The 25,073-nt window shown below is 38.4% G+C and overlaps 1 long non-coding RNA gene across 1 annotated transcript; it reads right to left on the reverse strand.

Moving 5' to 3' along the window:
* Positions 1-3,121: 3,121 nt before the first annotated feature.
* On the reverse strand, positions 3,122-24,530 carry LINC01967 (long intergenic non-protein coding RNA 1967). The gene is made up of 3 exons (XR_001740553.2): positions 24,435-24,530; positions 9,426-9,524; positions 3,122-6,490 (listed from the first exon to the last, which is right to left on the reverse strand). It is a non-coding gene; the product is annotated as a long intergenic non-protein coding RNA 1967 (long non-coding RNA).
* Positions 24,531-25,073: the final 543 nt, after the last annotated feature.

Here is a 25,073-nt window from a genome sequence, read left to right on the forward strand (position 1 = left end):
GTCATGAACTGAGGAGTGTAGAGGGCCTCCAAAAGTTGGACAAAGCAAGAAAACAGATTCTTTTCTCAGAATCTCCAGAAGAAACTGGCCTTGCCAACACTTTGCCTTTTGCCCTGTTAAAATGAAAACTTCAGAAAAATTAAATTTAACAGAGTTTAATTGAGCAAAAAATGATTCACAAGTTGTGCAGCCTCTGGAACCAGAATAGGTTCAAAAGGACTCCAGGGCTGCCACATGGTCAGATAATATTTGTGAACACAGAAAGGAAAGCAACATATGGAAAATAGAAGTAAGGTACAGAAATAGCTGGATTGGTTACAGCTTGGCGTTTGCCTTATTTGAAGATGGTTTGAACAGTTGACTGCCTGTGATTGGCCAAAACTTGGTGACTATTAGAAGAGCAAGTTAGTCTGTTTACACATTCAGTTAGATTACAGTTCACTTGGGATGGATAAACCTTTAGGCTAAACTTAAAATATATAAAGAGGTAGCTTTACAATAAATTTAATTTAAAAGCCCAATGAGACCGATTTTGGATTCTGACCTCCAGACATTAAGAAAATAAATTTGTGTTGTTTTGAGCCACTAAATTTGTGGTAACCTGTTACAGCAGCAACTAGAGACTAATACAGAGGGAAATGATGGTAATATTTCATATTCAATGTTGATTTTTTTTAGCATGACAAAAATTAACAGCCTACTTTAAGTAGCAGCACATAACAGTGTCATGATTATTTTGTACACATTGCTTTGGAATTTTTAGCAAATGCTCTAAGGAGTATAACAGGAATGTAGGTATTTCCACTGAAAAGAAAGAAAAGTAATTCTCTTCCTAGAAAATATAACAAGTTGAGGCTGGGCGCAGTGGCTCACGCCTGTAATCCCAGCACTTTGGGAGGCTGAGGTGGGCAGATCACCTGAGGTCAGGAGTTCAAGACCAGCCTGGCTAACATGGTGAAATCCCATTTCTACTAAAAATACAAAAAAAAAAAAATTAGCTGGGCGTGGTGGTGTGCACCTGTAGCCCCAGCTACTAGGGAGGCTGAGGCATGAGAATTGCTTGTACCTGGGAGGCAGAGGTTGCAGTGAGCTGAGATCACGCCATTGCACTCCAGCCTGGGTGACAGAGTGAGACTCTGTCTCAAAAAAAAAAGAAAGAAAAAAGAAAAGAAAATATAACAAGTTGAACTATGAAAACAGTAGAACTACTTGTCACTTCATACTTCAGAAATTCAAAAAGCTCTGAAATCAGACTTGTTTGCAAAAGTTTGGTGTCCACACTCATTTGTCATAAAGCCTGAATCCAGTGGATGTCAGGCTTTTTATAGCATTGATTTATACATTTAAAAATATTGTCAGTTTATTAGCACATTAGTACATTGACTATGGGATCCTGCCTTATACCTTACTGTAGGTATTATATAATGCATGATAAACACATATATGTATAATGCATGATATATTTGGATTATTATTATTATTACTATTACCTTTCTAAAAATTTAAACTTTAGGACTTCAGAATATATCTGTCTCCCAGGGTTTGCTATGGATTGAGGACCTATGACAGCACAGTTTGATAATGTGACAAGAAATAGGTAAATAAATATGTAAAATTGATTTTATACATTTAAAAAATCAGATAGATGTGATATTTTAAAATATGTTATTTACCCAAATGATAAAATACTTAAGTATAATCTCTCCGTAAGAAGGATGTAGGGCCCCTATGGGAAAAAAAATACAAAATTACTGAGATGTAAAATAAGCCATATAGGTAGAGAGATAAATGTAATGCCATCCTAAACAAAATCTCAATAGAACTTAATTTAGCACTTGATTTTTTTAAAAACCTCTGCAGCCTAGCCTCTCTTTTCTGCCTCCACATTGCTCACAGGCATCACATAAATTCATCAGCAATGTCTCTCCTTCTATAAGGTGAACCCCAACTGAGTACATTTTAATCTCTGCAGAGGGAGGGTAACTTCATTTCTGATATGCGCCATTCAGGGGATTTAAAGCTTTGGGATTGGGAACCACTATTCTCAAATTCAACTGATATAATAAAGATGTGCAAATTAACTTTTCAAAAAACTTTGCAAATAATAATAAGGTCTGCCAGATTGTCAAAAACACTATCAAATAATTAAATCTGTGTGGTACTAATTTAAAAATAAATCATAAAATAGAATGATTTATCTGGAATCAAATCCTAGAATAAATAAAAGTATAATACATAATAAAGTATGCATTGAAAATCAACAGACAACGAAAATATTATTCAACAGTGATTTGAGGATATTACTGCATACAAAAAATATGCTAGGACATTTGCTTATATCAGGGACATGAATTAAAAAATAAAAGGAAACAGGCCAGGCTCAGTGGCTCATGCCTATAATCCCAGCACTTTGGGAGGCCGAGGCAAGCAGATCACAGGGTCAGGATATCGAGACTATCCTGGCCAACATGGTGAAACCCTGTCTCTACTAAGAATACAAAAATCAGCTGGGCGTGGTGGCACATGCCTGCAACCCAGCTACTTGGGAGGCTGAGGCAGGAGAATTGCTTGAACAGGGAGTCAGAGGTTGCAGTGAGCTGAGATTGCGCCACTGCACACCAGCCTGGCAACAGAGTGAGACTTTGTCTCAAAAAAAAAATAAAATAAAATAACATAAAATAAATAAACAAAAGGAAACAAATGAATATTTTAAAAATCTCTGGGTGGGGTAAAGTGAATATTTAAAAAACCTTGCATGGGAAAAGTTTACCAAATGGAAAATTGCAATGGATTGGACTTTTTTGGACCTAATTAATTATTATTATTATTATTATTATTTTGAGACAAAGTTTTGCTATTGTTGCCCAGGCTGGAGTGCAATGGCATGATCTTGGCTCACTGCAACCTCCACCTCCCAGGTTCAAGTGATTCTCCTGCCTCAGCCTTCCGAGTAGCTGGCATTACAGGCGCCTGCCCCAACACCTGGCTAATTTTTTTTTTTTTTTTTTAGTAGAGACAGGGTTTCACCATGTTGGCCAGGCTTGTCTTGAACTCCTGACTCAGGTGATCCACCTGCCTCAGACTCCCAAAGTGCTGGGATTACAGGCATGAGTCACTGTACCTTGCCTGGGTCAAATTAATTAAGAAGCAAATAACAAAATACAAAAATACAGAAAATAAAAAAAGTGACAAATATTTTAGACAAAAAGTAAAAATCACCAGTATGTGCAATTCATATAAATCACTAAAAGTCACTAAGATTCCAATAAAAAATAATGAGGCTAGGACCTCACAATTCATACATGAGAAAATTAAAATTGGGTTTTTAAAGGCTACATTAGAAAACAATTGATATAAATTCATTTACTCCTTTCTTCCCTATGAGAAATTTTGTATATGAGTTGGGTTCCTTAACTCAAGTATATGACTATATATATATTTGAGTATAGGAAGTAAGCCCACAACTTTTCAATGAATACATATCTAAGAAAGCTGTAAGAAGAAAGTAATTCACTTATATAAAAGTTTAAGCATTACTTATTAGATGTACAGCATGCGCTGGGAATTCTGAAAAATACAAAAGGTACGTAAGATAAGCCATTAAGTTTAATCTAACGATGAACATGCAGTTAACAAATGGGATTCTCATTTCATGAATAAGTGCTATGAAGTCTCTTGGGCTGGGTGAATTACAACAGAAACAGCTCTATGCTAGGACACCAATAGACTAAGAGTAATAATTTTTGCAACAAAGTCTTAATTATTTTTCGATTAATAAGAAATAACTCATTAAAAAAGTCTTGATATTCTTTAGAGGCAATCTTCTGGAATAAAAAGCCTAGCAATCAGAGATATAGGGATTTATTTTTGGGGTTTTTGGTTTTTTTTGTTTAAAAACGAAAGTAGGTTTTATTATAAGATTTGACTCTCCTGGGGAAATGAGCTTAAGATAGGAACAGACTTCATTAAATTCTTTTCAAAAGAACAAAACACAAGGCAAAAATATCAATTATTCTTTCAAATTTAATAATTTCCAGCCTATGAAGGATAAAATAGAAAAAGTTAATAGAGGACATTAAGACTAACCTGCAGGGTGACAATGGAAAAGTCACTTAAAAGCTTTACATATCAACTGGCCTTATTGGTGACTTGATATTCATGATCTTTAGTATGTCTTCGGCCCCTGGAGGCTTGTCATTGACGTATTCTTGTGATCCCTTCCTGTTCTAAAATCTGACATGATCTTAGAGACCATCTCATCTTAACAGAGACAACGGAGGGGAGGAAGTGCTACGGTCTGAATGTCTGTGTCCTCTAAAATTCATATGTTGAAATTTGAATTCCCAAGGTGATGGTATTAGGAGGTGGGGCCTTTTGGAGGTGATTAGGTCATGAGAGCAGAGCCCTCATGAAGGAAATTAGCCCTTCTAAAAGATGTCCAAGAGCGACTCCTAGCACCTTTCACCACATGAGGACTCAGCAAAATGGTGTCATCTATAAACCAGAAAGTTGGCTCTCATCAGACATCGAAGCTGCTGGCTCCTTGATCTTGGACTTTCCAACCTCCAGAACTGTGAGAAATAAAGTTCTGTTGCTTATAAGCCACCTAATTAAAGGTATTTTGTTATAGCAGTCCAAACAGCCTAAGGCACGAAGTTATAAATAGGATAATTCACTATAATATCTCAGAACTGAAAGTGCTAATAGCATGTCAGCTCCAAGAGAGTTGTGATTTTATTTTCCTATGCATTTTCAGTACCTAGGCTAATACCTGGCCTTATAGTAGAAACTCAATACATATTTATTGTAAGAATAAGGAAAAAAGGAAGGAAATAAATGTGTTACTAGGTTTTAAAAGTCCATTTGGTATCCAGCAAAAAACAAACAAACAAAACAAAACAAAACAAAGGAAAATACACCCATCTCAAGGCATATCATCACAATATTTCTCAATTCTGGGATAAAGAAAAGGCCCCAAAGAGGATCCTACAGACTTCGAGAGGAGGGAAAATTAGTATATACAAAAATCAGAGATCAGAGTTGATTTAGAATTGTCAAAAGCAACACTGATAATTACAAGTCATGGGAGCTATGCCTTCAACAGAATAAGAAAAATGATTTCTAGCTCAGAACTCAATAGTCAGTCAAACTGTCAATCAAATATAAAGGTAAAATGCAGTCATTTTCAGATGTAAGCTCTCAAAAATTTACCTTAAAAAAAGTTTCTTAGAAACCAACTGGAATATATGCTCCACCAAAGTGAGAGAGTAAGCCAAGAAAGAGAAAGGTGTGAGATACAAGAAACTGAGGATTCAGCTCAGAAGAGAGGTGAAAAGAGCCTGCAGGCTGTTAGCTATGCAAGAGTAGAGTACAGTAACTCCACCTACAAGCAGGTCAGAATGTTCTTCCATTTCTATATTTTTATAAAAAGGAGAAATCGTTAAGTACTTGATACATCTAAATATCTTGAGAGAAGATTTAGATGATGAGTGGAGTGAGTGAAGATTGGATTAGTTTTTTTTTTCAATCAACTAACAACAAAGAAGGCTATTATTAATCATAGGAAAAGTAAAAAATTTATAAGGAAATAAAAGTTAGCATAGGGTACTCCATATCTCGGTTGTGAAAGGAATTTACAGACATAGGAACACTGAGAATGATATAACCAACAGTATAATACAACAGTATAAAAAGATGAGAAGCCTTCATGAGTGGGTAGAGATGGAGGTAGTGTGAGAGAAAGCTAGACCTTTTTCTTTGTTAGGGAAAGTCAATAGAGAATGTTTAAAACTGGCCAGGTGCGGTGGCTCACACCTGTAATCCCAATACTTTGGGAGGCTGAGGCAGGCAGATCACCTGAAGTCGGGAGTTCAAAACCAGCCTGGCCAATATGGTGAAACCCTGTCTCCAGTAAAAACTTGCAAAAATTACAGGCGTGGTGACACATGCCTGTAATCTCAGCTACTTGGGGGGCTGAGGCGTGAGAAGAACCAGGAGGTGGAGGTTGCCGTGAACCGAGATCGCATCACTGCACTCCAGTCTGGGTGACAGAGCGAGATTCTGTCTAAACAAAAAAAAAAACAAAACAAACATACAAACAAAACCCTGTAATATGAAAATATCAAGATATAGCAATATAAACATATTATTTTTATTTAAAGCATCAAATGAAAACAAACTTCCCACAGTTTGACTTCAAACTGTCATTTTTCCAGTATTGCACGCACAGTCCCTACTCACAGAGCTTAGGGCCTACTATGCTCCTTCTGGCAATGGTGATAAGTAACACAACATTTAGATAGTTGGCTAGACATGAGCCATTAGATTGGCTGGTGTGACAGAGTGCATGACATAAAGAAGAATGAAAACATATTTATTGAGAGCTAATGACATACCTGGCTCTGTGCTGGGTTCTCTCCATTATTTGGTTTTCTCTTTTAATCTCGTTTGTTTGAAAAAACAAATAACACTTGTCTATGAATGCCTTAGCCTGAAGAATAGAGAAGAAAGATATTAACCAACCCCTGATCTGTTTGTTTTAGAGTGATATGTGTTAAAGATGCTCACCACCAAAGCTAATGCATAAATTTCATGTTATAAACATCTGAATGGTGTATATGATTTTATTGTAACACTATACATTCTAACAGAAGAGTTAGAGGTCATTGTTTATATTGATTCCTTCTAAGCACTAGTTTACCACCTTATTTATTAGCTTAATTTTTTATTTGTACGTGCTCATTTTAAATAGGGGCCAAATCATAGAAGGAGGGTTGGTTACTATGAAATATAGCTGAAGAAAAAAAGATAAATGCAATGGGTGTATAAGACATTTAAACAAAGGGAAAATTTGGTTAGCTCAAAATGTTCCAACTTTTGGATCCTACTTAAGAATATACTCCATAGAGTTCGAGGCTTAAAGATAACAAAATTCTTAATTATATTTTATCTATTCATCAAATTGTAGCATGCTTTTCGATCACTGGTTATATATGCCAATCTTAGTTTTGATTTTCTTTAAAACAACACCTCTTGAGCTCATTGTAAGAAGCAAGGAGTACCAGTCAAACTGAAAATCATAAAACACTAAGGGGTGTGGATTTTCCCAACAACTTTAATGGGGGCTATTTAAAAAATCTAGCTTTCAGCATTTCACTGCATTTCAGTCTTGCTTTGAAGCCCACATTACTCCAACCAGTTCCTGTCACTACATGAGAACCACAAAATGTAGATGGCAAAAATTACAATGTTGGGTGTCCATCTTTTTTATATCCAGTGACAGAAAATGAAATACACTTCAACAATACAAAGACATGGACTGGTGGATATATACATGCTTATCACTAATTCAAGACAAATTTCAAAATGAAAACACAGACGATCCATCCATCCAGGTCCTCATGCACCAGGGCTTTTAAGCAGTATTATTAATGGATGTTAGGCACAAACAGAGCCAGAAAATGATGTTTCATTATTTTTAAAACAATGTTTTGTAAACACATATTTTATTATTAATTATTGAAAAGAAAGAGTTTACCATCCTCGTTAAAACTTTTATTTATTTATTTATTTATTTATTTATTTATTTTTATTTTTATTTTTTTGAGGTGGAGTCCGGCTCTATAGCCAGGCTGGAGTGCAGTGGCATGATGTCAGCTCACTGCAACATCTGCCTCCTGGGTTCAAGTAATTCCCCTGCCTCAGACCTCTGAGTAGCTGGGACTACAGGTGCGGGCCACCACCACCACTACAGGTGCGGGCCAAAAAAAAAAATATATAATTTTTTTTCGTATTTTGGTAGAGACGGGGTTTCACCATGTTGGCCAGGATGGTCTCAATCTCCTGACCTCGTGATCCTCCTGCCTCGGCCTCCCAAAGTGGAAGCTTTTTATTTTTGAGATGAGGAAATGGAGACACTGGTAGGTTGAACAACCTTCCCAAGGTTGCATGATTCTTAATGAAGAAATTGACTTTTAAGTCAACAAATATGTAATTTTGTGTTTTATTGTTTAATTATTCATTCATTCATTCAAAAATATTTTTTGAGTACCTGCCATAGGCCTGACACAGGAATACAGAGATTAAAAAAAAAAAAAAAAGAGAGAATCTCTTCATTCAAGAAGCTAATAGTCAAGTGGCAATGATAAGAACTCAACCAAAGACCACAGAGTGCTTGGTTGAAAGTGAAGGTAGGTTGGTGAGGCAAACCATGGTAAAAAATGAAATTACAGATGGAGCCAGGGGTCAGATTATAAAGCACTTTAGAGGCCATGTTAGGACTTTATGTTCCAAGTATGATAGATAGCTTGTGGGGCATTCTGAGCATGGGCATGACATGATCAGTTCTATCATGATCATTTCTATTAGTTATATCATGTTGCCTCTCTCAAACAATAGTTTATTCATAGCACTGAATGTTTGGTTTACTTAACACTATAGCTATAATTTCCTGTATTTTATTTCAAATACTTATGTCTACATTTTAGTTTGAAAGACATTCCAAACTATGTTCAGCAGAGAACTCCTAACTTTGATAAAGTTGATGCTTCACAAGCAAACCAGGCAAATTTGCTACGTTTGAGAATCAGATGTTCTATTCCTTTATTTGAAGATCTAGGTTCCCTCCTCAAGATTTCTCTCTCCTATGAATCTAAGTCGTTTTCTTTCACTCATAATTTCCAGTGATATCTAAACAGCAATAGTGACTTTTTCCAGAATAGTTTAAAACCCACTGCATTTTAAAGATGCAATTACAGCAATACTAGAAAAACAAAACCTAAAAACAACAACAAAAGCTATAGCTTATCTCCCTAGAGAGCATACATCTTGGACTTTGTGGAATAGTCCTGATTTCAAATATTTTGTCTCTATGTTCTAAAAGATATTCATACTTATTGCCTCATTATCTCCAGTTCAGAATTGATGATCACTGTACTTGTTTCATATTGCACAATAAAGTGAACTTAAATTTGTCCAAATAGCATTCAACTGACCTCATATAACTACACAGTCACTTTGGAAATATGCTCCCATCTTTTCATATCTATCTTCAATAAAAGAAAGTGTTATGAAAAAATGCAGTTCTTAAGGAATGGGTTATGACCTTTTCTTCCTTAATTTTAAGTCTGCAAATTTTAACAGTCTTGGAAATAGACACTCATCTTTGGTCTTTGGGCAATTAACAAGTTATTTTAGCTGTAGAGCATTTTTCATTAATATTTCACTAGTAGAAATTTCCAAAAAGAAGAACAACTCATAAGAGAGAGAGAGCAAGAAAGAGAAAAAGGGAACAAAGGAAGAAAAGGGGATTGGGGTGGGGGGAGAAGACAGGAAGGGAGGGAGAAAAAGAAGAAAACATTCTTCACCTACTAGCTAGAAAATATTTTATATTAATCTGAAGACTCAACACATTATAATTAACTTACTTCTATTTGATCAGCACCCAAAAGCTGCAGCTTTGTTCCACTCTTATTTTAAAATATATTTTGAATGCTGTAATTTGTTCATCCTTTTATAGTTCCAACCTGTACCAATAAAATTAGTGTGCTATGTTACATAGATATTTAGCAACATATACAACTAATTTTAATCAGATTTTTGTTTTACAAAAAACAGAATAACAAAAACATTTATTGTGAATAATCTTGACAGAAATCAAAGATGTCTCTTTAATTTAAATCCAGCTATAGTTTCAGAGTTAACCACAATGGCAATAAATTTGTCAAATGTTCTTTTTCACAAGGTAGACACTTATTCACATACAGATGTATCTAGTGAACAGCAGAACTATGAAGGAACTCATTGAGGGGACACTAGGGTTAGCCTTCACTAGAATCTCTTCAAGGCCCCCCCCCCCGACTTTTTTCCATTTGTAAGTGGAAAGGAGATATCACACATAACAAGTTTAGCACAAAGCCTGACACATAGTAAGCTCCTGATCTGTGTGAACTATTTGTTATAATTAAGTTGGCCCCCAAATTCTCCCCACAACCCTACTGTCCAAAGACAGCTGCCTTTATGCACACATCAACTGTCAGGAGACCACAGTGATTGAGAGTCGGAAAGTACCTCAGAGGTCTTCGAGTTCAACCTCCCACATTTCACAGACGAGGAAACTGAGCCTCAGGTGGTAGAATATATGGCTCAGGGGAACATAGTTATGAGATTTCCTGACTGTGTTAATTATGCATGTTTCCTGACTGCCAGACCCATTTATTTCCTGTCATTCAAGCTGAATCCAATTCCCTCTTATACAGCGGTGATGCTCCATACCGTATAGTTACCAGCATTGTCTGGGGATTTGATTGGTCTCCAGGCTGAGGCTCTAGCCCCAGGATACAGTTTACAGGGTGGGCTTCTGGTTGGAAGACTGGCATGGAGGGTGGGAACTGGAGACTGGAGTTGTGCTTTGATGCTTGGAGAGGGGAGCTAGAACTGTCCGTTTAAAGCATATATCATGTCACTCCTCTGCCGGAGTTTTTCAGTCCCTCTTATCTTACTCAAAATAAAATCCCAATCCTGGCCGGGCGCAATGGCTTACGCCTGTAATCCCAGCACTCTGGGAGACCGAGGCGGGTGGATCACTTGAGGTGAGGAATTCAAGACCAGCCTGGCCAACATGGTGAAAGCTTGTCTCTACTAAAACAAGCAAACAAACAAACAAATAAACAATTAGCCAGGTGTGGTGGTGCAGGCCTGTAGTCCCAGCTACTTGGGAGGCTGAGGCAGGAGAATCGCTTGAACCCGGGAGGCGGCACTCCAGCCGGGACAACAGAGCGAGGCTCCGTCTCAAAAAAAAAAAAAAAAAAAAAAAAAATCCCAAATCCTAACTGCGGCCTGCAAAGATGGGAATAATGTGGCCCCACTCACCTCTCTGATGTCTGCTTTTACCGCTGTCCACCTCCTCGCTCTACACCAGGCCTCACTGGCTTCCTTGCTGTAGTTGGAGCATACCAGGTACGTCCTGGCTACAGGTACTCCTCTGCCTGGATCGATCACTGTCTCCTGACATCGACATGCCTTCACTTTGTTCAAGTCTCAGCGCGAATGTCATCTTACTTGAGAGGCCGTCCATGACTTTCCCTATGCAAAACGGCATCTTTGCCCTGCTCCTCTCTTTTCCTCTCAGCCTGCTGTATTTATCTTTGTGGCATTGACCCTTAGCTGACATTCTGATGGATGCTCATTTATTTGCTTGTCGTGTGTGTCTGCACTAGAATGTGAGCTTGTGAGCTCAGGGACTTTGCCACGTTTGCCGTTGTCTTCAGAGTCTAGAAGGGTGCCTGGCATAGAGTAGGTTCATTAAGCGCACCTTAAATGAATGGAGGAAAGGAAGCAAAGAGAAGGGGTCTGTACGCTTGGCTGACTCTACCGAAAATTCTGGGCTGAGATGGAAGCATCAATATGAATGACTTTAAAGACCACAGCAGGGGATTCTCTTATGTCTTTAGGCCATCCACTTGTTTAAATATATGTGCTTATTTTTGTCGGCCTCACTCGCTCCTTTGCAAATGTCATGAGAGTAACAACTTTGATTCTCTGCTATATCTCCAGCACTAGACCAATATCTGGTACGTAGTGTTTAATAAATTCAGTGAATGAATTAATAAGTAAAGTTTTTAAAAGGGGGAAGGATAAAGAATATAATATGGATATAAAGTATCTAAAATAAGTTTTGAAAATGAGCCAGGCCTCCTATTTCCTAATAAGCTCTTTACATAATTTGGCCTCTGCAAAACTTAAAAAAATGCTTAAGAAACTGAATTCTTAAAAGTATATATATATATATATATATATATATATATACACACATATATATACACAATATATATACACATATATATACACAATATATATACACATATATATACACACACACATATATACATATATTTTTGTTATCTGTGTACCCTGTTTGCTATCAGTGAACCCTGTTTGGATGACAATTCTCTAACATTCTCTCATCTACTCGAGAAATATATTTTGAGAATCAACTACGTGTTGGTCACTGTGTTAGATGCTACAATATAATTGTGAGGGAAAGAGACATAATTCTTACCTTATTACACTCACAATCTTGTAATGAAAGAGATATTAAACAAATAAATACATTAATGGCTTCCTATCTCATTGCTGATTGCATAAGTGTTCCGAGGAAAGCGAACAAAGTTCAATAAGAGAAAATAACAGATTTATGTGAAACACATTCTGGCAAATTCAATCCATGGCTGTCCCTCCCTAGACCCTGAAGTCATAAGCTTATGTATGCCCTGTGGGTCTAAGGGGTGGTTCTAGTACCATTTACCTGAATGGAGCTCTTTACTGGGATATCAGGCTCAAAAGAGTCACCACAGGGTTCTGTTAATTTGATAAGAGATATTTATCTGAAACCTCCCAGTGCTACCTGAAACCTGTGAGATTTCATAGACATAGCATTTACTTCCTCTCTTAATATCAGCCAAAAATCTCTCAACAAAAACAATAGCAATAATTATAGGAAGCCCTTCTCTATCTCTTACTCTGCAGAGGGCAGCATTCTCAGGTTTTTACATCTGTTAATTCATGTATAAAGTGCTACTATTATTATCCCTATTTCACAGGTGAAGCATCAGGCACCAGGAGGTTAGGTGACTGGTCAAGGTTGTACAGCTGTTAGGAGCAGACCTGGGTCCTTTCATTGTCTCCCAGTTAATCATCTTTTGTAGTTCAACAACTCTGAGGGTTCTGGAGATTTTATAGGGAAAGTACAGAAGTGCTCTTTTGTCTTTTATCATAAACTCAAATTCCAAACAAGTTGTCATTGCCCAACAGGTAGATAAAGGTCTTTCAATTCTGTATTTAACAAAAGGATGAGGGCTTTTGCTGGAAATGTTAGTTTGCTGCCTCCCATTTCTAAATTCAACACTGAAATATAAACTGTGAAATATAATTTCTTTTCTCCCATCTTTCTGGTTCTTTGTGAAATATGTGGAAGCACATGTGGCTAACAAATTTCCCCACCCACTGCACTGCCATGCTGAAGCCATTCATTGACCCCATCAGGCCCTCAGATGTCCCACAAGCAGGAAAAGCACTAAGTGAAGCAATGTTCTAGTCAGTGTGACAATTTTCAAAGAGAAAATCTTCCTTGTGTTTCCCCCCGACCCTCTGCCCCCTCCACCGACAATCAAATAGGAGGCAGTATATCTGTCAAGCTAGCTTTTTTGGTCAGTACATTAAAAAAATCCCACTATCTTTGAGAAAAATTGGATGTGTGAGTCTATATCAGTGGTCCTCAACCACAGGTGATTTTGCCCCGAAGGGACACTGGGCAATGTCTCAAGACATTTTTAACAGTCACAACTTGTGGATGCTACTGGCATTTAATGGGTAAAGCCCAGAGACACTGCTAGACATCCTGCAACACACACAAAAATCCCCCTTCACCTTCCATCCCAAAGAATCATCTGGCCCCAAATGTAAGTAATGATGAGGTTGAGAAATAATATGATGAGCTTGGTCTATAATAATGTACTTGTTCTTATGTTCTAAAATGAAATAAAATAAAAATGTATTTTTTGAGCATCTCTCATATGCAGAGTCCAGTGATAGGTCCTGGGATAAACTCTTGATCTAAAAGATCAAAAGAGAGAAAAGACATAAAAAGCAAATGAAAGACTTCTGCTTCTGGGAAAATGGAATAGATATACTTTTCCCTATTCCTTCCTCCAAGTACAACGAGAAACGCTGGAAATTACATGTAAAATAAATATGAAGGACTTGAAAAATGTTAAAGAAGACGGCAGACTGTCTAGGGAACTTGAGATTCAAGGAACAACATGGTGGTGAATTCCCTGGATTTATTTTTGCCTCATATATCCCAGACTTGGTGTGAAAAAAATCTGGGAAGCCAGAAATGTTGATAGACACAGATGGGGAAAAAGCCAAAGGACCATGAAAGAGACAGCCTAGCAAGACAGAAAACATTCAGACAATACTTTCTCTAACTCCAGTCAAACACTACAGAAAAGACTACATATAGCTAGCCCCACCCACCCCATGGCAGCAAATACCAAGTGGGGAGCTTAGACTTCTATCATCAAGGCTGAAATGAGGTACCCCAGCATCTTTGCAGGGGCAGTCAGAGAAGGCCAAGTAGGGAGCCGGGATTTCCATCCCTACCAGTCAGTGACAAGGCCCCCTCCTTGTTACAGTGTCAGTGGAGTTCATATCAGGAGTCTATACTTCCACTCTACCTTGTAGTAATAAGGTACCTCTCCCTCTCCTCATCAGAGTGGTGCCAGAGGAAGCTTCATGTTGAGTTGGGACTTTCACCATTGCCCAGAAATAGCAAGGTCACTGCCAGTGTGGTGTTAGTGAAGACAATATAAGAGCTAGAACTCTGACCCATGTCCAGCAATAAAAAGGAACATCTCTCTTAGTGTTAATATAAATGTTTTAGAAAAGAAAACAGAAGAACCTTTCAACAGTTAGTATAGGCAAAGAGTTTTCAGACTTAATACAAAAAGCATGAGCTATAAATGAAAAAAATTAATACATTGCCCTTCATCAAAAGTTAAAACTTTTAATGCATGCATTTGGGAAAAATCTATACCTTAGAGACTGTATCTAATTATTCAATCAAGTCATGCTGAATGAATATGTGAATATGTGCAAAGTATCTTTTTAAACTTAACCTGCTGTATGTGATACGATTCAGTTCAGTGTTCATTGAACATCTACTGTTGGAATACACTGTGTTATGTCCTGAAGCACTGGATTTTAGAGAAGGTAATGGAGTGTGTAAATTCAGGGTAAGGAAAATCAAACACAAGGCAGCCTTTTAGATAATAAATATCACCCTCTGGAAAATGAACCAGCTCCTTCAGAACCAAGCATTCTAAAACTTTGGCATTTTTGATGGGCAAGCATATCGCAGTCATTTCTATCAGGTCTTGATTCTATAAATGAATTATAATGTTTTCAGTCAATATTGGCAGAGGCTTGGCAGGGATGCAAATTTTTTCTCTTACTATGTTCTCAGCTGACATCACTTGTGAATCCCAGCACTCTGTAGCACTGTGCCTAGACGTGGCCTCTGAGTTCACCTCAATCACATGCTCTAGGCAGTGCTTACCAACTGATCAGAGTTGATCCTTGAGGAACACCTGTCACAAACTCTGGGTCTGAAAGGTGACCTTGATAAATCATTTCTCCTGCCGTTTGCACAAGATGAATCTCTCGATAACCTTTTTATGTGGACACTGGACTCTCAGGGTTTTGGAGTTTGGTAGGGAGAGGAGATTGCAGGTTTAAACCTTCAACTGGGTCATCCTCCTTCACAGGACTGGCTCTCAAACCGAGTATTTTTCCTAGTCCTCAATAGACACGTCAGCACTCTCCTTCCCTGCTGGCTCTGGCAGAAAGAAAGGGAGAGACAGGGACAAAGGGCTGCCATGGATTCCAGGTGTCCCTTAATGCAGTCCAGCGTGGCCACTGCAGGGCTTCTCTGCTTGCCCGCAGGTATCCTTTTGAGCGTTCAATTAAAAGGGACATTTGCTGACGTCCGTAGGTGGTGTGCATGGGTCCTGGCAGTTTCAACATGTTGGCTTCAAGCATTGATGTTTATAAGATTTGGGAGACTTTTTGTATTTGTTTCAATGCAAACATTAATGTTGACAAAACCTGAGCTGTTCTGTTTATTTAAAGCCTCAGAAATAACAGGATCATATTCTTTAGCAACCTAGATAATATTTTGCAGAAGTTTTCCTGCAAAATGTTTCTAAAGTGACACTGAGAAAAGAAACTCATTTTCTTACTCTTTGAATCATGTTCTTACTCTTTGAATCATGTTCTTACTCTTACTCTTTGAGAGACCTACTGTAAGCCCTGAATTTCAGTTTCCTCATTCATAAAAGAAGGTGAATAAGACCTACTTAGAGGATTGTTGAAACAATAAAGGGAATGAGTGAATTCTTTTATAGCTTTGGAGCAGGGGAAGGCCTTTTAACAATTACTTAAAATCCAGGGGCCACACAAAAAAGACTGATACATTTAAAATATTACTCAAAATTCAGAGGACATAAAGAAAAATGGAACCATTTAAATATATTTTAAAGATATGCAAATCAAATACGAAAGAAAAACCAAAAATAGCTGTGTCATAGCACAAAGAGCTCATCTCTTTCATATATAAAGAGCTCCAAGAAATTGAGAAGAAACAGGCCAAAAAGTTCATCAATAGAGAGTTTATAGAAAAAAATACAAAGACCCCTTATATATATATATATATATAAAGGCTCTATTTCACTCATCAGAGACAAAGCAAAGTGAAATTACACTGAAATAACATTTCTCACCTATCAGATTGGCAAAAACCCAAAAGTTTAACACACTCTGTTGGCAAGGTTGCAGAGAAATGGGCACTCTGATACATTGCTGGTAGGAGTGCAAAATGGTACAACCCCTGCAGAGGGCAATTTGGCAATCTTTTTCGAAATTACAAATGCATTTACCCTTTGACCCAGCAATTCCACTTCTGGGAATTTATCCTACAGATTACACGTATATACATGAAATAATGAATGCATATTAATATGAGCCTTCATTAATAGCAAAAGATAGACAATTCAACTGCTCATTAACAGGGTACTAATGAAATAAGCCATGATGTATGCACACCACAAAATATTATGCTGCTATAATGCAAAGAATGATGGTGCTTTCTGTATGCTGACGTGGAAAGATCTCTGGCATTTATGCTGAAAACAGGAGCAGACACTATACATAATGGGCTTCCTTTTAAGTAAGAAAGATGAGAAGTTGGTGGGAGAGAATATATTTGTATTTGCTATATTTTCAGAAAGAAATATTTTTAATATCCAAAAGAAGATAATAGAAATAGTATTCCTTACAGGACACAGAGCTGGAAATAAAATGGATGAGAATAGTGGGAACAATACTGTTTAATATCTCTCTTTTTATATTATTTTGACTTTTAACCATGTGAATTTATTACCTTTTAAAAAATAAAAATTTAGGAAAAGAAAGAATTAAGTGAGTTCGTGAACATAAAATACTTAGCCAATGTTCCAGGTCCATCTAAGTGCTGATCATTTATAGAAATTGAAAACATATCCCCAGGTTATTTAATTGGTCTCTGAAGAATTCTATGGCTTTTTCACATAGTGTAGCCTTCGGACTACTGGCATCAGAATGAATCTTCATTTTTAAAAATACCCCAGAAAATCTTCATTTTTAATATGTATCTCAGATCAATACTTGGGTCCACCTCAATGCTTGCATGCATAATCAGAATCTCTGGTGCTAAGACCTAAGAATATAGATTTTTTTAAGTCTCTCCCAGTGATTCTTATGAGCCTCACAGTTTGAGAACCACTATGGTCTATCTCAGGTACACTGTAGAGGGTTTTGGAGGTAGCAAGCATGTAGAAGGACATTTAGGCCATGATTTTGATACCGTAGCTAATCTGCTGAGTTCAAAATATACTTCTCTAGCCTTGTGCTCTAAACCTGCATATACAATTTCCTGTTGGTATGGTCACTTGACTGTGTAATAGGGATCTCAAATATAACACATCTAAAATCGAACTTAAACTAACTGGATTGGAATTGATCCCCTGTTTACCCATTTATTCTCTTACCTGTTCTTTGTGTGGTCTTCTCCATCTCAGTCAATAACATCATAAACCATCCAGTTGCTCAAGCTAAAAGTTTAGACATCATTTTTTATTTTTGTATCTATCCTCTTCCTACATCTAATCCATCAGGAAGCCCTATCCTCTGCAGGGTTTGTACCATTGTGTAATGCATGAGAGTGAGCATTTCTCTACTGCTTTCTCAACAGAAATTGAAATTGAGTCTTTTTATTGGTTTATTTATTTATTTTTTTCCCTGTGGTCTATTCAGTTGTGCAAGATAATGAAGTTCTGGAGACCTAATACACAACAATGTGACAGTAGTTAACAATATTGTACTATATACTTGAAGTTTGCTAAGAAGGTAGATCTTAAGTATTCTCAACACACATACACAAAAGGTAACTATGTGAAGTGGGAGATGTGTTAATTAGCTTGATTGTGGTGAAGATTTCACAACAGATACACATATCAATTCATCAGTTGTATAACTTAAATATGTACAATTTTTAACTGTCAACTATACCTCAATAACTTTGGGGAAAAAATGTGAAAAGCAACAGGTATTTGAATATTTGCTAAAGCCCTTTCCTCCTTAGAGAGCCCTGCCCATAGCAAACTGCTAAAAGGTGCCCCCTATACACCAACCTCTGCTTCTCTCTATCCCCACTACCCTGCCCTTGTGCAACCTCTTCCTCACTCACCTGGACATTAAAGTGTCAGTGGCCTCCCTGTTCTCCTGCTTCCATTCTTGCCTTCCTTACACTCTGTTCTTCATCAAATGATCTACTTCAAACATAAGTCCCCTCATGTCACTTTCCTGCTTACAACAGCTTCCCATTTCACTCAGGATAAGACCCTGAGTTTTCTTCGCTTTGACCTACGAAGCCTGGGTGATTTTCCCCTTACTACCATTGTTATTTCATTCTGTAGCACTCTTCTTGCTCTCTGTGTTCCAGTCACACTGCCCCTCTTTCTTTCTTTTGAGTGTGCACGATGCTCACCCCTCTTCAGGGCCTTTGTGTTTGCTGGGCCTTCTGTGTGGAATGTTCTTTCTACTGAGCCTCCCTGTGCTTATTTCTTTGTGTCACTCAGGACTCAGCTGAAATCTCCTCTCTTCAGAGAGTCCTTCCCTGACCACACCAATCCATAGTGCCCCTCTACCACTGCCCCACCCCTGGAGGTCACACTATCATTTTTCCCTGCTTTGTTTTCTTTATAGCCCTCGTCATTAATCTAATATTATTTTCTGTATTTGTTTACCTCTTCATTGCCTTAATCACTCTCCAGGAATGTCAGCTCCGTGAGATGGGACTCTGCCTACTTTTTTTACTGTCTTTTCTCCAGACCTGAAGCTGTGTGTGGCACCTTAGCAAGTGCTCAATAAATATTTGCTAAGGAAATCAATGACCTGCTTCTTATGACTCATGGCATTGCCTCCACTTCCTCTTCTTCAGACCAACTCAGACGCATAGTCTTGGCTTCAGCTGCCATTGTTTATACCTGTTGCTTCACCACTTTTTTTCAACTTCACTGATGTATAACTGCCAGTTAAAAATTGTATATATTTAAATTATACAACTGGATGAATTGGTATGTGTATACATTGTGAAATATTCACCACAATCAAGCTAATTAACATATCCATCACCTCACATAGTTATATTGGTGTGTGTGTGTGTTGAGACCACTTAATATCTACCTTCTTAGCAAATTTCAAATATACAGTACAATATTGTTAACTATAGTGTCACGTTGTTGTACATCACATCTCCAGAATCTCCAGAGCTTTATTATCTTGCATAACTGAAACTTTGTACCTCTTGACCACTGATAACGGTTTGGCTCTGTGTCCCCACCCAAATCTCATCTTGAATTATATTTCCATAATTCCCACATGTTGTGGGAGGGACCCGGTGGGAGATAATTTGAATCATGGGGGTGGTTTCCCCCTTTACTGTTCTCATGGTAGTGAATAAGTCTCGAGATCTGATGGGTTTATCAGGGGTTTCCACTTTTGCATCTTTCTCATTTTCTCTTGCTGCTGCCATGTAAGAAGTGCCTTTCACCTCCTGCCATGATTCTGAGGCCTCCCTAGCTATGTGGAACTGTAAGTCCAATTAAACCTCTTTTTCTTCCCAGTCTTGGGTATGTCTTTATCAGCACCATGAAAACAGACTAATACAATAAATTGGTACCAGTAGAGTACTGAAAAGATAACCCAAAATGTGGAAGCAACTTTTGAACTGGGTAACAAACAGAGGTTGGAACAGTTTGGAAGGCTCAGAAGAAGCCAGGAAAATATGGGAAAGTTTGGAACTTTCTAGAGACTTATTGAATGGCTTTGCCCAAAATACTGATAGTGATATGGACAATAAGGTACAGGCTGAGGTGGTCTCAGATGGAGATGAGAAACTTGTTGGGGACTGGAGCAAAGATGACTCTTGTTATGTTTTACCAGAGTGACTGGTGGCATTTTGCCCCTGCCCTAGAGATTTGTGGAACTTTGAACTTGAGAGAGATGATTTAGGGTATCTGGCAGAAAAAATTTCTAAACAGCAACACATTCAAGAGGTGACTTGGATGCTGTTAAAGGCATTCAGTTTTATAAGGGAAGCAGAGCATAAAAGTTTAGAAAATTTGCAGCCTGACAATGTGATAAAAAAGAAAACCACATTTTCTGAGGAGAAATTCAAGACAGCTGCAGAAATTTACATAAGTAATGAGGAGCTGAATGTTAACCCCAAGACAATGGGGAAAGTGTATCCAGGGCATGTCAGAGGTCTTCATGGCACCCCTCCCATCAAAGGCCTGGAAGCCTAGGAGAAAATGGTTTTGTGGGCTGAGCCCAGGGTCCTCATGCTGTGTGCAGTCTAGGGACTTGATGCCCTGCATCCTAGCTGTGACTAAAAGGGGCCAAGGTACAGCTCAGGCTGTTGCTTCAAAGGGTGCTTCAAGCCCCAAGCCTTGGCAGCTTCCACGTAGTGTTGAGCCTGCAGGTGCACAGAAGTCAAGAATTGAGGTTTGAGAACCTCTGCCTAGATTTCTGAAAATGTATGGAAATGCCTGGATGTCCAGGCAAAAGTTTGCTGCAGGGGTGGGGCCCTCATGGAGAACCTCTGCTAGGGCAGTGCAGAAAGGAAACGTGGGGTTGAAGCCCCCACACAGTACTGCTACTGGGGCACTGCCTAATGGTACCGTGAAAAGAGAGTCACTGTCCTCCAGACCCCAGTATGATAGATCCACCAACAGCTTGCACCTTGAGCCTGGAAAAGCCAGAGACACTCAACACCAACCTGTGAAAGCAGCCAGGAGGGAGGCTATACTCGAAAAAGCCACAGAGGCAGAGCTGCCCAAGACCATGGAAACCCACTTCTTGCATCGGCGTGACCCGGATGTGAGACCTGGAGTCAAAGGAGATCATTTTGGAGCTTTGTTTTTGAGACAGAGTCTCACCCTGTCACCCAGTCTGGAGTGCAATGATGCAATCTCAGCTCACTACAACCTCCACCTCAAGCAATTCTCCTGCCTCAGCATCCTGAGTAGCCAGGATTACAGAAGTACACCACCATGCCCAGCTATTTTTTTGTATCTTTAGTAGAGATGGGGTTTCACCATGTTGGCCAGGCTGGTGTCGAACTCCTGACCTTGTGATCTGCCTGCCTCAGACTTCCAAAGTGCTGGGATTACAGGCATGAACCACCATGCCCAGCCTATTTTGGAGCTTTAAAATTTGACTGCCTCACTGGGTTTTGGACTTGCATGCATCCTGTAGCCTCTTTGTTTTTGCCAATTTCTCCCCTTTGGAATGGCTGTATTTACCCAATACCTATACCCCCATTGTATCTAGGAAGTAACTAGCTTGCTTTTGATTTTTCAGGCTCATAGGTGGAAGGGACTTGCCTTATCTCAGATGAGACTTTGGATTGTGGACATTTGGGTTAATGCTGAAATGAGTTAAAACTTTGGGGGACTGTTGAAAAGGCATGATTGGCTTTGAAATATGAGGTCATGAGACTTGGAGGGGTTGGGGCAGAATAATGTGGTTCAGCTTTGTGTCCCCACCCAAATCTCATCTTGAATTTTACTTCCATAATTTTCATGTGTTGTGGGAGGGACCTGGTGGGAGATAATTTGAATCATGGAGGCGGTTTCCCCTATACTGTTCTTGTGGTAGTGAATAAGTCTCAAGAGATCTGATGGTTTTATCAAGGGTGTTCATTTTTGCATCCTTCGCATTTTTCTCTTGCCACTGCCATGTTAGAAGTGCCTTTCACCTCCTGCCTTGATTCAGAGGCCTCCTCAGCCACGTGGAACTGTAAGTCTAATTAAATCTGTTTTTCTTCCCAGTCTCGGGTATGTCTTTATTAGCAGTGTGAAAATGGGCTAATACAACCATCATCTTCCCATGTCCCTTCCTCTCTGCCCCTGGTAAACACCACTGAGTTTGAGATTTTTAGATTATGTAAGTATGATCATGCAGTATTTGACTTTCTGTGACTGGTTTATTTCACTTAGCATACTGTTCTCCACATTCACCATGTTGTCCTAAATGGCAGGATTTCTTTTTTTTAAGGCTGGATAATATTCCATTACACACACACATTCACACACACACACACATAGTCCATTATGTAAATATATATAGTCCATTATATATATATATATGTTATATATGTATTTCTGTAAATATATGTGTGTATGCGTGTGTGTATATCTATCTATATATGAATATATATCTCTATATATATCTGTTATGAACACTTAGGTTGATTCCATAGCTTGTCTATTGTGAGTAATGCTGAAATGAACATGGGAATGCACATATTTCTTTGGAATATTGATTTGATTTCCTTTGCATATATACCCACAAGTGGGATTGCTAGATTATAAGGCAGTTCTATTTTTTTTTTTTTTTTTTTTTTGTGGAACTTATATACTGTTTTCCATAATGACTATAGTAATTTACATTCCCACCAATAGCATACTAGGGTTCTCTGTTCTTCACATCCTCCCCAAAACTTATTATCTTTCGTCCATCTGATAATGGCCATTCTAACAGGTGAAGTGATATCTCATTGTGTAGTTTGCATTTCTCTAATGATTATTGAAGTCTCTTTTTGTACATCTACTGACCAGTAGGTGTCTTCTTTTGAGAAATGTTTATTCAGGTCCTTTACCCATTTTTAAATTGAGTTATTTGGGATTTTGGTTTTTGTTTGTTTTTCTATTGAGCTATTTCTACTGCTTTCTATTGAGCTACATTTCTTATATTTTGGATATTAATTTCTAATCAGATACATGGTTTGAAAAATATATTCTCCATTCTGTAGGTTGTCTTTTTACCCTGTTGATTGTTTCCTTTGCTGTTCAGAAACCTTTTAGTCAGATATAAGCCCTCTTGTCTTTTTTGCTTTTGTTGCCTGTGCTTTTGGTGTGATATCCAATGCCAAGAAGCTTTTCCCCTATTTTTCTAGAGTTTTACAGTTTCAGGTCTTACATTTAAGTCTTTAATCCATTTTGAGTTGATTTCTATATGTGGTGTGAGATAAGGGTCCATTTTCATTTTTCTGTTGTGGACATTCAGTTTTCCCAATACCATTAATCAAAACTGCTACCCTTTCCTCATTTTGTGTTCTTGGCATGCTTGTTGAAGATCAGTTCAACGTGGGGTATGTAGATTTATTTTGGGGCTCTCTATTCTGTCTTTATGTCTATACATCTACTACTTAAAAAGGAAGCCAGGAAAGCAATCCTATTTATAATGGCTAAAAAAGGAACAAAATACTTTACCATTTATTATAAGTAAGTTCCTGAGGTATTTCTGATGAATCCGGCTCATCTTTTCTCTCCTGTCATAACTGCTGTCTTCATTCATGTTCCTGCACCTGATCCAATCATATGAGGTTTGTGTGTGTTTGAGTCAGGGTAGAAGAAGAGTCACGTGGTTTTCAAAAGTGCTGTGAATGAGCTGCTTCACTTAAAATGATAAATCTATAACATTAGATATAGAAGGCCTAGAACAAGCATGGGAGGAGAGGACCAGCCCAAGATAGAAAAGGGGACACAAAAGTGAGATTGAAGACAAATTTTCCTACTGCACATTCTTTCTTTTTCTTTTCTTTTCTCTTTTTTCTTTTCTTTTTTCCTCTTCTTTTCTCTTCTCTTCTCTTCTCCTTTCTTTCTTTCTTTCCTTCCTTCCTTCCTTCCTTCCTTCCTTCTTGTTTCACCCTTGTCACCCAGGCTAGAGTGCAATGGCATGGTCTTGGCTCACTGAAACCTCCACCTCTGGATTTCAAGTGATTCTCCCATCTCAGCCTCCCAAGTAGCTGAGACTACAGGCAAGCACCTTTGTGCCTGGCTATTTTTTTGTATTTTTAGTAGAGACGGGGTTTCACCATGTTGGCCAGGCTGGTCTGAAACACTTGGCATCAGGTGATCCGCCCACCTCAGCCTACCAAAGTGCTGGGATTACAGGCGTGAGCCACTGCGCCTAGCCCTACTTCAAATTCTTTAATAGCTTTGTATTGGAACCTTATCTCCATTCTATCTTCCTGGGGCCCAACTTGCTTAATGGAAAACCAAATCAGGAACAAATAGGACTGGGAGGAGTGGAAGTCACATCTTTTGTGAGCAGGAACAGATTTGAATGTGTGCATCCTAGCAAACATGGTGTCATTGTGATCTGTTGCTCTGTGCCATCCACATCTCTTCACTGTAATTAGCAGAAGAATCTAGAGTTTAACAGAAGCAGATCTCACTTTAGTGAGCCATGAAAACAATTTCAACTCTGCTTACCTTGGCTTCTTTGAATTTCAAGCAGAGGAGGTACCGCAGTCCATTTTAAGTGAGACCAGAATCTTCTTTCCTCTTGCTCATTCCTTTGTAAGCTCCTATAAAATAAAACCACCAGATTCCCAGAAGATAAAAATCCATTCTCTCCCTCCCCCTCACATAAGTGCATCCTCACGTATTCACAGGCTTCTGCAGATTTTAATAAGGTCCCCTGTGTGGATCTCTTCAAATACGGGCAAAATACTCAGAGTGAGAAAATGTCACATCTAATCAAGGGTGCTATAAATGCAGCACCCGTGGCAGGCGGACAGCTCACAAGTGGCTTGAACCAAATCACAGTCTTTCTCTGTTGGAAACCAAAATTGAAGAAACTCATTTTGGGTCTTCATTTTGGTTATTTCAATTAAATACTCAGGGTTTTTTTTAAAAGGAAAAGTATATTGGAATTGGGCAAACGGCATATCCTGCTAATGGTGACAGAACCTCAGAACTTTATTTCCTGGAGGAAAAAAAGTGTTTTAGAGACCAGTGAGTGCTCCCTTTAAACATAAACACCTAAACATAAAGGCACAACCACCCCTAGCTCCCCAATTCTTTCTGACGCTACATTTCTGCTTATATTACTGTAACTCAGTTGTCTTC

Source organism: Homo sapiens, chromosome 3, assembly GCF_000001405.40.
Source record: "Homo sapiens chromosome 3, GRCh38.p14 Primary Assembly".
In the NCBI taxonomy this organism is placed as follows: domain Eukaryota; kingdom Metazoa; phylum Chordata; class Mammalia; order Primates; family Hominidae; genus Homo; species Homo sapiens.